Genomic DNA, 14,034 nt, shown 5'->3' on the forward strand with positions numbered 1-14,034 from the left:
GAGAGAGAGAGAGAAAGCAAATAGGAAGAAATCAAAGCAATAAATCAAAAAAATGCCCAGCGTTGAAGAACATGAGTTGCAAATAAACAGGACCAAAGAGTAGGCAAGACGATGGATGAAAACAGTCTCCAAGGGACATCACTGTTCTGGGAGTTCTGAATTTCACAGAAAGAAAAGCCTCTGAGGCCAGATGCAAAGCCTTCACTCCCAGCACTTCGGGAGTCTGAGGCAGGAGAATCACTTGAGGCCAGGAGTTCAAGATCAGCCTGGGCAACATAGAGAGCTCATGTCTACAAAAAGTTTTTAAAATTATCCAGGTGTGGCGGTGCATGCCTGTAGTCCCAGGTACTTGGGAGGCCGAGGCAGGAGCATCACTCAAGCCCAGGAGATTGCAGCTGCAGTGAGCTATGACAGCGCCACCGCACTACAGCCTGAGCAACAGAGCAAGACGCTGTGTCTCAAAAAAAAACAAAAGAAAGAAAGAAGAAAAAAAAGAAACAAAAACCTTCAGGTTTCATGGAGGAAAACATAGTCACACACAAAGGCTCTAAAAATGTTACGTATCAATAAAAGAGAATCAGAACGGCTTAAGACTTCAACAACACTGGAAACTTAGAGACCGCGGAGCAAAATGATGTCCAAATTCCTACTCAGGATAAGAGCAGAACGAGGCACTTTCGTACATACAAATTCTGAAAACTTCATCTGCCATGCACTTCTCAGGCAACTAGTGAAGGATGTGCTCCATCGAAGTGAGACAGTCAAATCAAGAGAATGACATAGGTTCCAGAAAAGTGAGGCTCCAACACAAGAGGGAGTGAGGAGAGTTACAGGAAGATTTCAGGCACAGACAAGCCTGCAGCAGATTGGAGGCGCTGGGAGAGATTTATTCAAGATAAAATGATAGGAATACTAATTTTCTTCAAAAGAAAACGGACAATTTCTTGAAAGATTTAGATAATTGCTTCAGAATTTGGGGTTGAATTGTAGTGACAAAATATAGAAAACTGAGCAAGCAGCAAGCAAACAAAAACAAATAAGACTTGTAATAACCCAGGAAAACAAAAAGTTATCCAGAAAAGTGAAAACAATCCTATTATACCACTTCGTCCAGCTGTAAATGGCAATATGTAGTCATAATATAAACAATCAATACTGAACTAACCAAATTAAGGATATATCACTTTGGGCAGCCATGGATCCGTTTGCACTGAGAAGGCAGAGGGTGAAAGAAAGCTAGGAACTTCCTACCTATTCTCAGTGTCAAGCGAAGAGACATCACATGAAACAGGGGTAGGAGACACAAATACAGACGTCAAGCAAATATGCTCTTTAGAGTTGGAGGCAAAGATCAAGGAAATCTACTAAGGCTGAAGTAGATACTCTGCAGGGGAGGAAACATGATTAGGGGAAGGATGTTGGCACTTCTTTCTTACAAGCCTTTCTAGGATTATCTGACTCTACAAATGACATGAAGCTGTAACCTTGATTTGAAATAAGATTAATATGAATGCTAATAAAAAGTAGTAAGGGAGAGTATGTAGTCAATGTATTCTTACCAAATTAACAACAAGTATCAACAAGATGACTAACACAACCACATGATGTCCAGACACGTCTCAGAACAAATGTCTAGCTCATCTTCAACGGTATTCGAGGAACTTCAGTGTGCTTGGTAAAACAATAGCCTACTAGGGATTTCACTTCTAAAATGTCTCTGACTTTAGAAATACCAAAAAATAACATGTAACCAAGTTTTAAAATATTATACACATGAAAAAAGGTTCTTTTCATTATTTTCTTGGTTTCCAGATGTTGAACGTTGTGGTGCTTTTACAATTGAAGAGAAAAAGCATTCTGACACATTATACTGGTTGGGGTTCTCTGCTTTTCTACTTGGTCAAAAACCTTTACACGCATTTTGGACTTTGTGTCATCATAACTTGGCAATTGGGAAAGCCGCATGATATGCTTCTTTCAGAACTTGGTTACTTCTTACCAAAAGAGGGAAAAGCTTTCGTATCACCATTTGCCTATGGGATGGATGCACAATGAACGGGCCATACCAAATAAAAATATCACTTTGTACTCCAAAAAGCATGTTCTCTGCTTAAGCCCTTTCTGTAAGTTTCAGCTGGGACGCACTAATGGAGAATCCATATGACCCACGAAGGATCGTAAGATATCCCAGTGGACCCGGCACAATCATCTCAAATTCTGTTCAGGTCAGAGTATCTTAGATAAAACTCACTGAAGGGCATCAAGTCCTTCAGTACACAGTCTGAGCCAAGCCCTCTACCATTTGCCATGGCAAGAGTATACCAAATTCTAAACCTGTTGCTCACGTATGCCACCAACTATAAATGTCAGCCTCCTCTTTCCTAGTCTTCCTGTCCACTCAGCACCACCTGGAAAAACTCTTACTCGTCTTTTAAACCGCAGTTCAAGGACCACATTCTGTAGGAAGACTTTCCAACAGGTAACCACTGCCTATTTCCTATGTCCACACCTTACACATATTTCTATCATTGCACTTATCACACCATAATGTAATTACTCTTCTACAAATAAGTCTCTCACACTAGACCACAAGCTGCCTGAGGAAAAGAAAAGTCTATATCCTCTTTTTTTGTTGGCTTTTTGAGACACAGTCTCACTCTGTCGCCCAGGCTAGAGTGCAGTGCTACAATCTCGGCTCACTGCAACCTCCGCCTCCTGGGTTCAAGCGATTCTCATGCCTCAGCCTCTTGAGCAGCTGGGATTACAGGCGCGCGCCACCATGCCAGGCTAATTTTTGTATTTTTAGTAGAGACAGGGTTTCACCATGTTGGTCAGGCTGGTCTCGAACTCCTGACCTCAAGTGTCCACCCGCCTCGACCTCCCAAAGTGCTGGGATTACAAGCGTGAGCCACTGCACCTGGTCGAAAAGACTATATCCTCTCAACCTTTGTATCTGCAGAACCCTTAACCCTACACAGCAATTTCCAGCAAATATTTTTTTGAATTGAAATGAAGAAGTGAGGTCATGAGGCTGAAGTCAGACAACTGGAAGGCCAAAACAACAAAACCTGGAAAAATACGTATTTACTCAAGAAGAAATTCTCCCACCAGGCCACTGAGAAGTTAGCTTTGCCCACTGGAGAGGACACTGTAACAGGGATTCAAGTAAGCCTAGTGGCGCTGAGGGACGTGATATAGGTCAACTATATCTTTGAGGTGCTCTCCTTACACTCAATGCACTTTTACCCGAATGACGTTAATTTGACTCCTGATAAGATGAGCTAAGTCCCTTCAACAGTGCTTGGCACCAAGCAAAACTAATAGCAGTAACAGGAAAGTTTAATCCTCATGATGAATTATTTAATGGGGTTTCAAACGCTGTCCCTGAGACTTGAGGCAGTAGGCTCCAGCTCCATTTTCCCCAAGTCTAAAACTTGATAGGTTGATGTTTCAGACTCAGAGATTCGGTAATCCAAATGATGGAAATAATTCTTACCCAAACACCTTTTCAACTATTTTTAAATACTGTTGCCAAGCATCCTAATATCATGTGTACTTAATGAATTTAGCCTAGGGATACTTTTACATGTCAAAAAATCAAAATATAAACCTAAGCACTACGTTTCATCCAGTGTTTCAGCATCCCAGATTTGCTTCCCTAAATGAACATTAAGCTTATTATGCAATGTGCCGCTACCAGGAGCCTTAGACAAAACCCTAATTGTGACTTAACCTATCTTAATAGGGTTTTAAGGAAGTTAGCTGCTAAGAAAGTGACTATCCTTAAGCAGACACCAAATAAATGTGAAGTCATTGATTGAGGGCTTAGGGTATAGGTAGCTATGAATCTGAGGACATAAAACGCAAAACTGAGGGGCAAATCGTCATGTTCCTTAAGATTACGACTCATCCACATTCCTTCAGCCGTTTAATTTCACCATAATAGGCACTGTTTAATAAGCAAAGCCCAAGTCGACTTCCTTCGATTTTACATGGCGTCCAAACACCATGTCAAGTCTGACCCTCTCATTTTTTAAGTCGAATGGAGAGGATATGTAGCAGCTAGCCTTGAGCACCTAACCACTTTTCAAAGGAGCTACGCACAAAAATACCCTAGCAACATGCCACGGTGTCAGAAAGGCTCAGGTTCCCAACACCATGCGGGTCAGCCATTAGGAACTCAGGAAGTGTTTCCTCTAAGCGGGGGAAACCTAGGAAGGCTTCCTGAACGAGGGGTATTTGCGCCAAGCCTTGACGTGAGTCTCGAACAGTTGCAGTGCCTCCAGGCCACGCGGGAGGGAGGAAAGGACACCCCGGGCCGGGGCACAACCCGCGGGCCGGAGCCGCCCGCGCCCATCCCGCTCAGGCCGCAGCCAGGCACGGCACCCTCCCGTCCCCGAGCCACGTCGCTGCTCGTGGGCTCGCGGAGCACTCCCCAGGTCTCACCTCGGGCCCCACACCAGAAGGAGAAAGCTAGGGGCCGCGCCAGCTCCGCCCTCCCCCGCGGGGCGGCGGGCCCCAGCCCGGGCACAGGAAGGCCACGTCCCCGGGGAGGGACGCCCGACTCGATGGTCTGCGCAGGGCCCGTCGGCCCCACGTGACGTGCGCGCAGCCAATCCCAGAGAGGCCCCCCGATCATCGAGACGGCGGCGGTGGTGGGCTAGACGAGTTTCGCGCGGCCGCTCGCCGTCCCCCGCCCAGTCGTACTCGGCGCCCCAGCTCGGTGCTGCCGCCATCTTCTTGGAGGACAGGAGGAGAGGCGAAGGCTCCCCCTCCCCGTGATCGCTCCGCACTCCCGCCACCACCTGCCCTCCCGCGACCGCCTCTCTCCTCCTCAGTGGGCACTTGTCTCCTTCTAACAAACGGCCTTCCCCCCACTCCAGTTACCCACCGCAAGGCGAAGATTCTCATTACCTGTTCCACTCTTATAAGCATAAGAAAACCGAGCTCATAAGGTAGGAACTGTGGCGAAACAGGGACAAGCCGCCATCTTGGTAAAGGAGAAGAGGCTACGCTTGACCTCCCCCCCCACCCCCAGCCTCTATATGGCCAACTGCCGTGGGAGGAGCACGGCGCTTGCGCAGAGGCGGACAACGCGGACGACTCTGGGCTTGCGCACTCGGAAGCCGGCCGCATGGGGGAGGGGAAGAAGGCCAGGTCGCACTGAGCCAGGAAGCAGTTGGCAAAGGGGCGGGGTGACGCGGTGACGCAATCCGCCTGCGCGCTGGGCGGGGCGGGGCGGGCTGGGGCGGGCTGTGAGCGGACCGCGAGCGCTGGGCGGGTCCGCGGCGCGGTCGGTCGGCGCCTGTTCTCGGGCTGTTTGGCGGGTGAGTGTCTCGCCGGTGTACCCCGCACAAGTTGTGGGCCGGCCCTCCCGAGGAGCTGCGGGGGACGCGCCGCTCGTCCCATACTCTCGGGCGGTGGTCGGCTGGCTCTGGGGTGCCGGCGGGGCGGTGTGGGGGAGGGGCGGCCGAGCCCAGGCTCTTCGGCACTTATCGTGGGCTCCCCCGTCCCGGGCGGTCCTAGTGCCGGCGACAGTGGCTCCGACACGGGCAGGCCCGGGCGCGGGAGTGGGGATTCCGGTGACCCCTTGTTGACCCTGCGGGAATTCCTCTGCACTGTCGTCGGTGCTGGGCCTCGGGGCGTCGAGTGCGGTCGAGGTCGGGAGGTTTGGTGCTTGGAGGGAGGATACAGGTTTAGGCCCGACAAACACTTAGAGCTTGTGTGGCCATCTTGTCTTTCTAACGGTGCCATTTCCTCCCTGAGGCGTGGAGGACTGGCCAGCCCCCAAACCTCCAAGCCCATCGGCTGGATGCCGTGGATAAGCGAGGGGAGAGCGACTAGGCCCTGTCTGCGGGTACCTTCGGCGAGGAGAGGCGACGAAGGTCTGCACCAGCGAGGCACGGACAGGCAGCAGGGGGTAGGGTATAGGGTTGGAGGCCGCCGAGTTGGCCCGGGGATGAGGAGCAAACCTGTGGCTTCCGTGGTCTCAGTGGAGTCCCAACTGTGACCTGGCCTACTGGCCCAGACAAACCTGGCTTGCTTTTTTACCTTTTCGGTCTAATTCTTGTCAGTGCCACCAGACCTTGTCCTCTCTCCACGGAAACACACGAACCAACTACACTGAACTTCTTGTAGTTCAAACTTCTGCACCTTTGGCCATTGCCCAAACTCTTAAATCTGGCTACTTCCCACCTTAACTGCCTTCTCCTTACCTAGTCTGTGCTTGTGGGATTCCGCCCAAATTAGATTTCCTCCAGACAGGCTTAGGTGTTTACCTGATGTTCCAGATGGTATTTGTCCAGTGGACTATTGGTGCTGTGAGGGCAGGGCACATGTTGTCACCCATACTCATTGCCTCGGTTGGTGTCTAGCACCTAGTAGGTTCTCAAATACTTTTTGAATCACAGTGCCTGCCGATATATTTAATGTTTCAAAATAGTTCTGCCGTCATAAAGAAAAACATCATGGTGTAGGGGTCATGAAAGCTGATTCTTGATACTTCTGATTTGAGCCTCATTGTTTTCAGTGATTTTTGATAGCTCCCATTAATGGGTTCTTTGCACCACCCAGCATCCTAACTCATGATGTGTACTGTTATGTATAATCTTGGCATTGATCTCATTAGCTATAAAGGTTGTCCTGATTTTTTTTCCTCAACTTCCACCTTGATTTCTCTCACCAGTGCCACAGCCAGGAATAAAGAACAAGAGCGTTTTAATTAGATCAGATTTACATTCTGACTGGCTCTTAAACTAGCAAGGTGACCTAGGGAAAGGGGCCAGGGTTTCCCTCTATCATTCATAAATGTAATTCAGGGCCCCTTTTTATCCCCAATACCAGCATACAGAAACTGCTGTAAAAGAAGAAGTTGTGGGTATTTTTTTTTTTTTTTTTGTCTGGAGGAATGGGGACACCAAAACTCATTTGGCAGCAGAGGTGAGGTAAGGCCATTTGTATTGTCTGTTCTGTTAGTAGTCATACATGCCACTTATCCCTGCCCCAGTCCCTGTTAGGAGTGTTATGTGGGTATACTGAACGTGGACCTTCCCCGAATCCAAAGAATCCAGATGCTTTGAATAAGATCATGGACCTTCCGGGTTCTACATCGCCAGATGTTGTTCATCTTCTATCTTTTGTTTTGCGAAAATTGGTTTTTTATGTGTATTGGGGTTATTCTGTGGAAGAAATAAGCTGTGGGTCAAGATTAAAGAACTTTAAACAACTTCTGGCATGTGGAATAAACACGATCTGAAGGAACAAAATTTTCATTTGACTACATTTTTGGTCCAATTTGCACCCAGTGTTTAAGTTAATCACAGTGCTTGGCAGTTTGTGTTGCTGGATCAAGGCTTTCTCACTGAAAACCATGTGCTTCAGAGGTTCATAATTCCTCTTTCACCTTCCATTTCACATTAGTTAATAAATTATGAGAGAAAACATTGTGGATCCAAGTTATGTTTCAGAAAAAAAAAAACAGGAAAAAAAAAAGATGGCAGGAGAAACTTGGTAAAGTCAAAGCAAAGTTGAAATGTCAGTTTAAGACAAATAGTTTCTCCATTTTCCCATATGTGTGCACAGGGTTCAGTGAGGCTGAGGGGTTCTGTGGAGGTGCGGGAGAGGTGCTCTATGGTATTTCTATGTTGCACTGTGTGGGTTTGAAATCAGATACATGTAATAGGTGATAAGGTAAGTGCCTGCTCTTTTCTATCCTCAGCATTGGCATTTAATCTTTCCATGTGAACTTAAAGCTCATTTTATCCAATCCTTTAAGAAAAAAGCCACACCGTTAGGGATTCCAGTTAGAAATGGACTAAATAACATACTCATTTGGGGAAAATAAAAATGATTTGATTTATGTAGGACCTGTTTTCTAGTTTGGTCCCTACTTGTTTGGATTTTTAAAAATTCTGTTGTAAATGATGTGCCCCCATTTCTATTCCTTGATATTTGTTGCTGGTACTTGACTTACTTGAGATCTTATATTTAGCTACCTTACTAAATTATCGTATTCTAGAATTTTTTTAACCAGAGTATTTGTATTTTCTTTTTTTTTTTTTTTTTGAGACAAAGTCTTGCTCTGTTGCCAGGCTGGAGTGCAGTGGTGCGATCTCAGCTCACTGCACCCTCCACCTCCCGGGTTCAAGTGATTCTGCCTCAGCCTCCTGGGTAGCTGGGATTACAGGCAGGCGCCACCACACCTGGCTAATTTTTGTATTTTTGGTAGAGACGGGGTTTCACCATGTTGGCCAGGATGGTCTCAATCTTTTGACCTCGTGATATGCCCGTCTTGGCCTCCCAAAATGCTGGGATTACAGGCATGAGCTACCGCACCCAGCCGAGTATTTGTATTTTCTGTGTATTCAGTCCAATCAGCAAAAAAGTGTTTTCTTTTGATTTTCTTGTTTCATTATATTCAGTAAACTCACCAAGGTAGTATTAAATAATCATGGTGAAATTGCAATATCTGGATCTTACTTGGATCTTGATTCACATGAAAAAAATGAGAGAATAGAGAATATGAATACTGATTGGATATTTGATTGCATTAAAGAACTAGCTATGTGTAATGGTTTGTCATTTTTAGGAGCCCTTATTTTTAGATATGTGTAGTGGAATATAAATGAAATGTTACATCTCGTATTTGCTTCATAATCATCCAGGCAGTGGCATTGATGATTGTGGAAATAGATGAAACATTATTGACCTTCAGTTGCTAATTGTTGAAGCTGGATAATGGATAGCACATGGGGGTTTTGTTTGCTTTTTGTATAGGTCTTCATGTAAAAGTTTTCATGTAAGTGCTTAAAAATAATTATGGAAGGGCATTCCTGCCGAATTATCGGTTGTAATTTAAATAGATTTAATTTTCTATTGTTTAGAAAACAGTATTTGCCTTTGGTTTTCAGAAATATCCTGAATTAGATTTAAGCAGTTTTCCTTTTTTTCTTTTTTTGAGACAGTCTCACTCTGTCACCCAGGCTGGAGTGCAGCAGCACCATCTCGGCTCACTACAGCCTTCACCTCCTGGGCTCAAGGGATCCTCCCACCTCAGTCTCCCACTTAGCTGGGATTACGGGTGCCCGCCACCACACCCAGCTAATTTTTTTGTATTTTTTGTAGAGACAGTGTTTCACCATGTTGTCCAGACTGGTCTTGAACTCCTGAGCTCAAGCGCTCCTCCTGCCTCAGCTTCCCAAAGTGCTGGTATTACAGGCGTGAGCCACCACACTCTGCCAGCAGTTTTCTTACTGTTTTCATTATGATTGGTTGCTGAATTTCATATGCCTCATCAGCATCTATTAATGCATGATTTTTTTTCCCCTATACTGTGTTGTTGGATTAATATTGGTAGATGCTTTTGATACATTCCTGGAATCTAATTGCTAGCAAATATTGTATTCAGGATTTTTGCATTTATATTTGTGAGTGAGATTGGCCTATGGCGTTCATTCATTCCTTTGTTCCTTTCTTATGTCTCCATCTGGGTTTGTTATTAAAACTGTGCTGTCTTCATAAAACAAATTGTTTTCCCTTTTCTCTGTAGAGGCTTGGAATAGTTAAATGACTTTGGTCTTGTCCAAGGTTAGATGGAGTTCAACTCTAACGTCAAGTCTTGGTCCTTTTCATTGGTATGTCTTTAATCAGCTGCTTAGTGATACTTGTTTTAGTCAGATTTTCCAGTTTTTGGTTCTGTATTGGTAATTTACAGTGCCCATTTTTTCTGCATTTTCAGATTTGGGGCCATTTTGCTACATGTAGTCTTCTCTGTCATTATTTTAGCTACTTTTCTATATTTGCTATTTTTTCCTGAATTGGGCTTGTGAGGAATTTGTTTTAGAAAACCAGCTTTTGCGGCCAAGCACGGTGGCTCAGGCCGGTAATCCCAGCACTTTGGGAAACCAGGGTGGGAGGATCACCTGAGGTCAGGAAGTTTCACCTGGCCAGCATGGTGAGACCCCATCTCTACTAAAAATACTAAAATTAGCTGGGCGTGGTGGCGGGCACCTATAATCTCAGCTATTCCGGAGGCTGAGGCAGGAGAATTGCATGAATCCAGGAGGCAGAGGTTGTAGTGAGCTGAGATCGCGCCAGTGCACTCCAGCCTGGGCAACAAGAGCAAAACTCCATCTCAAAAAACAAAAAGAAAACCAGCTTTTGGATTTGTTTACCCTTCTTTTTCCCCCCCTCATAATTCATTTTTTCTCTTTATTGATTTCCTGTTTTATCTCCTAAGTTTTGCTTTTATCTTCCTTCCATTGCTTTCTAGAGATTGCTTATGGCTTTGCTTTTGTTACCCTCCTTGATCCTGGGGATATCCAGTAATGTAACAAATTACTGGGAGTTACTTTTCATCTTTTTCCACCCAATTTAAGCAGATAATTATTTGAGAACATTGACTGTAAAAATGTTTTTCAAATTTTGTTTAGGCTTTTTTTTATGGTAGATACATGACTTCAAACATTTTTTAAGGTATTGATTCAAATTTCTCTATGTCTGCTAAATCAGATGTATTTGTTGTATTACTCAGTTCTTCTCTGTCCTTGCACATACTGTGTTTACTGAATCTGTCCGGTTCTCAGAGAACTCTATTAAAGTTTCTCACTTGAATTTTTTTTTTTAAGTTTGTATTTTTCCTAGTCCTTGCTTTATGTGTTTATCTACAGTGATTATTTGAATATACAGGCTTATGAATATTACATCTTCCCTATAAATTGTTTCTTTTATCATTATAGCTTGTTATCCCTGTTATTCTGCTTATTTTTACTTTAATTCCCACCTTGGCTGATAGTAGTGTTGTCTCTCCTCCATGTTTGCACTAGCCTGCTATTTTTTACCTTGTCCCTTTATTTTCAGCCTCTCTTTGTTCCTTTTGCTTTAAGCATATACGTTATAGCTGGACGGTTTGTTGTTTTTGTTTTTTTTTTCCCTTGGTTTTTCAGGCCAATCTGTCTTCTCCTTTAAGCAGAGAATTTGGTTATTTCACATTTATACTGATAACTGATATTCTTGAATTTTGTCCCCATTGTCTTGATTTAGGATTACTTCTGATTTTGTTTCTTCTTGTTCCTTTTCCATATTTTTGCTGGTTTGATGAAGTTGCTGTTTCCTCCATATTTTTCTCTTAATTTGGAAGTTCTCATTGTTATTTTCTTTAATGATTACCTTTTTTTTTACTTTCATAATCAGATACTTATCTCTGTATTATTTGAAAACGAGATGCCAACTCCTTCTGCCAAAACTGTCTGTATTACATCTGACCCTTCTCTTTCCCTTTAGGAAGTTCTACTCCTCCACACTCACACTTGCTCTCAATTCTTAGGTTTTGCTGAAATTAAAGGCTCTTGAACCTTACTGCTACTATCCCTTGGTTAACCAAGCCAAATAACACTGGGGATGCAGGGATCTCATTTCTTCCAAAGTAGCTGGGAACATTTCCAGTCAAAAGGGAAACAGAGGACACAGTATTCAGGAAGTTAAGATTTGGGGGAGGGGAATCGAGAGGCAAAGTGAGAGAAGCTTTTTAATAAGTTTCTAAGCTCCAGAGGGAACCAAATTTGACAGCAGTCATCTTTCTTGGGGTTGTTACTGAAGGTTAGCCAACAGACTCCATGCTTTCCAAAGCTTCAGGGTTTCTAAAATTTGTTTAAAAATTCCACATATCTCTGGCTGGGCACAGTGGCTCACACCTGTAATCCCAGCACCTTGGGAGGCTGAGGCGGGCGGGTCATGAGGTCAGGAGATCGAGACCATCCTGGCTAACACAGTGAAACCCCATCTCTACTAAAAATTAAAAAAAAATTAGCCGGGCATGGTGGCGGGCGCCTGTAGTCCCAGCTACTCGGGAGGCTGAGGCAGGAGAAGGGCGTGAACCCAGGAGGTGGAGGTTGCAGTGAGCTGAGATCACCCACTGTACTTCAGCCCGGGAGACAATGCGAGACTCCGTCTCAAAAAAAAAAAAAGAAAAGAGAAAAAAAAATTCCACATATCTTTAAAAATATTGTCACATTTTTCAGACACTCAGATGCCTTCAGTACTATTTCCTTTCCTCATAAATGTAGTTCACATTGCTCTCTGTACCCCAGTGTCAAAATCTAGTTCTCAGGTAGCTCTAGGAAACTCCAGTGGGTGGCAAACATGTTCAAGTTACAGTGCTCTATGTAATGAAGTCCCTTACTCCTTGAAAGGTTTCAAAGAGAGAGGGGAAATGACATAATTCCAGAGGTCAGGGAAGTATGTATCCGTGTGTATCCCATTTGTGTCCCTAGTGTCTAACATATAGTCAGTACTGAAAAAAAATTTGAATATTATTGAAAATATGGAATATGTGCGTACATATATATATACAGTTGCTTTTATCAACTTAAAAATTTTTTTAATTTTTTAATTTTTTGTAGAGATAGGGTTTTGCTATGTTGCCCAGATTGGTGTTGAATTTTTGGCTTCAAGCAGTCCTGCCTCTGCTTCCCAAACTGCTGGGATTACAGGCGTCAGCCACTGCACCCAGCCACCATCTAATTTTTTTTTTTTTTTTAATGGAGTCTCACTCTGTTGCCCAGGTTGGAGTGCAGTGGCATGATCTCGGCTCACTGCAACCTCCGCCTCCCAGGTTCAAGCGATTCTCCTGTCTCAGCCTTCTGAGTAGCTGGGATCACAGGCACGCACCACCACGCCTGGCTGAATCAGTATTTTTAGTAGAGACGGGGTTTCACCATGTTGGCCAGGCTGGTCTTGAACTCCTGACCTCAAGCGCCACCATGCCTGGCTGAATCAGTATTTTTAGTAGAGATGGGGTTTCACCATGTTGGCCAGGCTGGTCTTGAACTCCTGACCTCAAGTGGTCTGCCTACCTCGGCCTCCCAAAGTGCTGGAATTACAGGCGTGAGCATCACGTCTGGCCTAATTTTTTTAATCGAATTTATTTTTGTAATGATAGATGCTTGTCTTATTCCTAGGGAAATATTTGAAGTAATTGAGATGCTGTCACCTAAAATAATCAAAAGGCTCCTGATTCAGTTAAAAGAATTCATTTAAGTACAGAGTGTAAGCGAGCTACACCAAAGAATGGTGATTAGCGCTCCCAGGGTGGGGAAAAATGAGGATTGTTTATATAGGCAAAATGGAGGTGCCAAACAGAATTATAACATTTTCGGAACTAAGGCTCATTTAAAGATACAAATTTGATTGGCTACTATTGATTACACTTGAAGGGATTTGTTTAACTTCCTTTTGTAAAGAAGTAACAGTCATAAGGATCTCTCATCTCCCAGTCATTTAGTCTAGTTTTGAATAAAGAATAGGGGGTCTGGTTAATATATACATCTAAACACAAAAGTCAGAAAGAATAAAAGTAGTGATGTTACACGAGCCAGCTGTCAGTGCTTAACTTTTCCCTTTGGCCTAATGCATTTGGAAGGTCCTGAAATTGTATTTTCTTTTTACATTGCCTATGTATGTGTAAGTCTTCTTCAGGTCAGTTCACGCTGTTAAATATACGTGCGTATACATACATACTATGTATGTGCGTTTATGTGTGTCTGTGTGTTTTTTTTTTAACAGACGAAGCTTCACAAAAGATGTCTAAGGTAAGATCATACTTCATGTATCTACAGCATAAGGAGAAATTGCTTTATGTTTTCAGACTGTTGACAGTCGGGACTTATATGATTCATTATTTTTAATACAACTGATACATTTGATTCATTAACACAAAGAGTTCTAATTTAGTTGTCTTTTTTTTTTTTTTTTTGAGACGGGAGTCTTGTTCTGTCACCAGGCTGGAGTGCAGTGGCATGATCTCAGCTCACTGCAACTTCTGCCTCCCACGTTCAAGCGATTCCCCTGGCTCAGCCTCCGGAGTAGCTGGGACTGCAGACACGTGCCACCACGCTGGCTAATTTTTTGGATTTTAGTAAATTCGGGGTTTCACCGTGTTGGCCAGGATGGCCTTGATCTGTTGACCTCGTGATCCACCCGCTTTGGCCCCCCGAAGTGTTGGGATTACAGGTGTGAGCCACCGTGCCTGGCCTAATT

At 44.1% G+C, this 14,034-nt stretch overlaps 2 protein-coding genes across 59 annotated transcripts in view, besides 11 other annotated features; one reads left to right on the forward strand and one right to left on the reverse strand.

The window, feature by feature from the left end:
- HDLBP (high density lipoprotein binding protein) overlaps positions 1–5,017 on the reverse strand; it is an 88,382-nt gene extending 83,365 nt beyond the window's left edge. For 12 of the 14 annotated variants that reach the window (XM_017003941.3, NM_005336.6, XM_011511060.4 and 9 more), the window contains exon 1: positions 4,915–5,017. The gene's annotated coding sequence lies outside the window, so the exon portion shown is untranslated. Of the gene's footprint in view, positions 1–4,446; positions 4,576–4,914 lie in introns of those variants that run through there. The other 2 variants (XM_017003942.2, NM_001320965.3) reach the window with 1 other exon arrangement.
- Positions 826–875: an enhancer, noted in NCBI's record as "active region_17422". NCBI's record gives its function as "activates an Ori minimal core promoter by ATAC-STARR-seq in GM12878 lymphoblastoid cells {active_cell/tissue: GM12878}" and the evidence as "EXISTENCE:reporter gene assay evidence [ECO:0000049][PMID:35858748]".
- Positions 3,993–4,042: an enhancer, noted in NCBI's record as "active region_17423". NCBI's record gives its function as "activates an Ori minimal core promoter by ATAC-STARR-seq in GM12878 lymphoblastoid cells {active_cell/tissue: GM12878}" and the evidence as "EXISTENCE:reporter gene assay evidence [ECO:0000049][PMID:35858748]".
- Positions 4,273–4,652: a silencer, noted in NCBI's record as "silent region_12535". NCBI's record gives its function as "represses an Ori minimal core promoter by ATAC-STARR-seq in GM12878 lymphoblastoid cells {active_cell/tissue: GM12878}" and the evidence as "EXISTENCE:reporter gene assay evidence [ECO:0000049][PMID:35858748]".
- SEPTIN2 (septin 2) overlaps positions 4,700–14,034 on the forward strand; it is a 38,673-nt gene continuing 29,338 nt past the window's right edge. For 7 of the 45 annotated variants that reach the window (NM_001349288.2, NM_001349307.2, NM_001321032.2 and 4 more), the window contains exons 1-2: positions 5,270–5,327; positions 13,561–13,586. In NM_001349288.2, the coding sequence (NP_001336217.1) occupies positions 13,578–13,586 (9 nt within the window). In that variant the 5' untranslated portion in view covers positions 5,270–5,327; positions 13,561–13,577. Of the gene's footprint in view, positions 4,956–5,269; positions 5,328–5,522; positions 5,661–5,766; positions 5,901–6,843; positions 6,945–7,581; positions 7,690–9,547; positions 9,633–13,560; positions 13,587–14,034 lie in introns of those variants that run through there. The other 38 variants (NM_001349312.2, NM_001349304.2, NM_001349314.2 and 35 more) reach the window with 27 other exon arrangements.
- Positions 4,923–4,972: an enhancer, noted in NCBI's record as "active region_17424". NCBI's record gives its function as "activates an Ori minimal core promoter by ATAC-STARR-seq in GM12878 lymphoblastoid cells {active_cell/tissue: GM12878}" and the evidence as "EXISTENCE:reporter gene assay evidence [ECO:0000049][PMID:35858748]".
- Positions 4,993–5,092: an enhancer, noted in NCBI's record as "active region_17425". NCBI's record gives its function as "activates an Ori minimal core promoter by ATAC-STARR-seq in GM12878 lymphoblastoid cells {active_cell/tissue: GM12878}" and the evidence as "EXISTENCE:reporter gene assay evidence [ECO:0000049][PMID:35858748]".
- Positions 4,993–5,742: a biological region, named in NCBI's record as "NANOG-H3K27ac-H3K4me1 hESC enhancer GRCh37_chr2:242255088-242255812".
- Positions 5,018–5,742: an enhancer, noted in NCBI's record as "NANOG-H3K27ac-H3K4me1 hESC enhancer chr2:242255088-242255812 (GRCh37/hg19 assembly coordinates)". NCBI's record gives its function as "activates a minimal SCP1, AML or CMV promoter by ChIP-STARR-seq in naive H9 embryonic stem cells {active_cell/tissue: H9 hESC(naive)}" and the evidence as "EXISTENCE:reporter gene assay evidence [ECO:0000049][PMID:30033119]".
- Positions 5,193–5,542: a silencer, noted in NCBI's record as "silent region_12536". NCBI's record gives its function as "represses an Ori minimal core promoter by ATAC-STARR-seq in GM12878 lymphoblastoid cells {active_cell/tissue: GM12878}" and the evidence as "EXISTENCE:reporter gene assay evidence [ECO:0000049][PMID:35858748]".
- Positions 5,733–5,792: an enhancer, noted in NCBI's record as "active region_17426". NCBI's record gives its function as "activates an Ori minimal core promoter by ATAC-STARR-seq in GM12878 lymphoblastoid cells {active_cell/tissue: GM12878}" and the evidence as "EXISTENCE:reporter gene assay evidence [ECO:0000049][PMID:35858748]".
- Positions 5,733–6,467: a biological region, named in NCBI's record as "NANOG-H3K27ac-H3K4me1 hESC enhancer GRCh37_chr2:242255813-242256537".
- Positions 5,743–6,467: an enhancer, noted in NCBI's record as "NANOG-H3K27ac-H3K4me1 hESC enhancer chr2:242255813-242256537 (GRCh37/hg19 assembly coordinates)". NCBI's record gives its function as "activates a minimal SCP1, AML or CMV promoter by ChIP-STARR-seq in primed H9 embryonic stem cells {active_cell/tissue: H9 hESC(primed)}" and the evidence as "EXISTENCE:reporter gene assay evidence [ECO:0000049][PMID:30033119]".

This window comes from Homo sapiens, chromosome 2 (genome assembly GCF_000001405.40).
Source record: "Homo sapiens chromosome 2, GRCh38.p14 Primary Assembly".
In the NCBI taxonomy this organism is placed as follows: domain Eukaryota; kingdom Metazoa; phylum Chordata; class Mammalia; order Primates; family Hominidae; genus Homo; species Homo sapiens.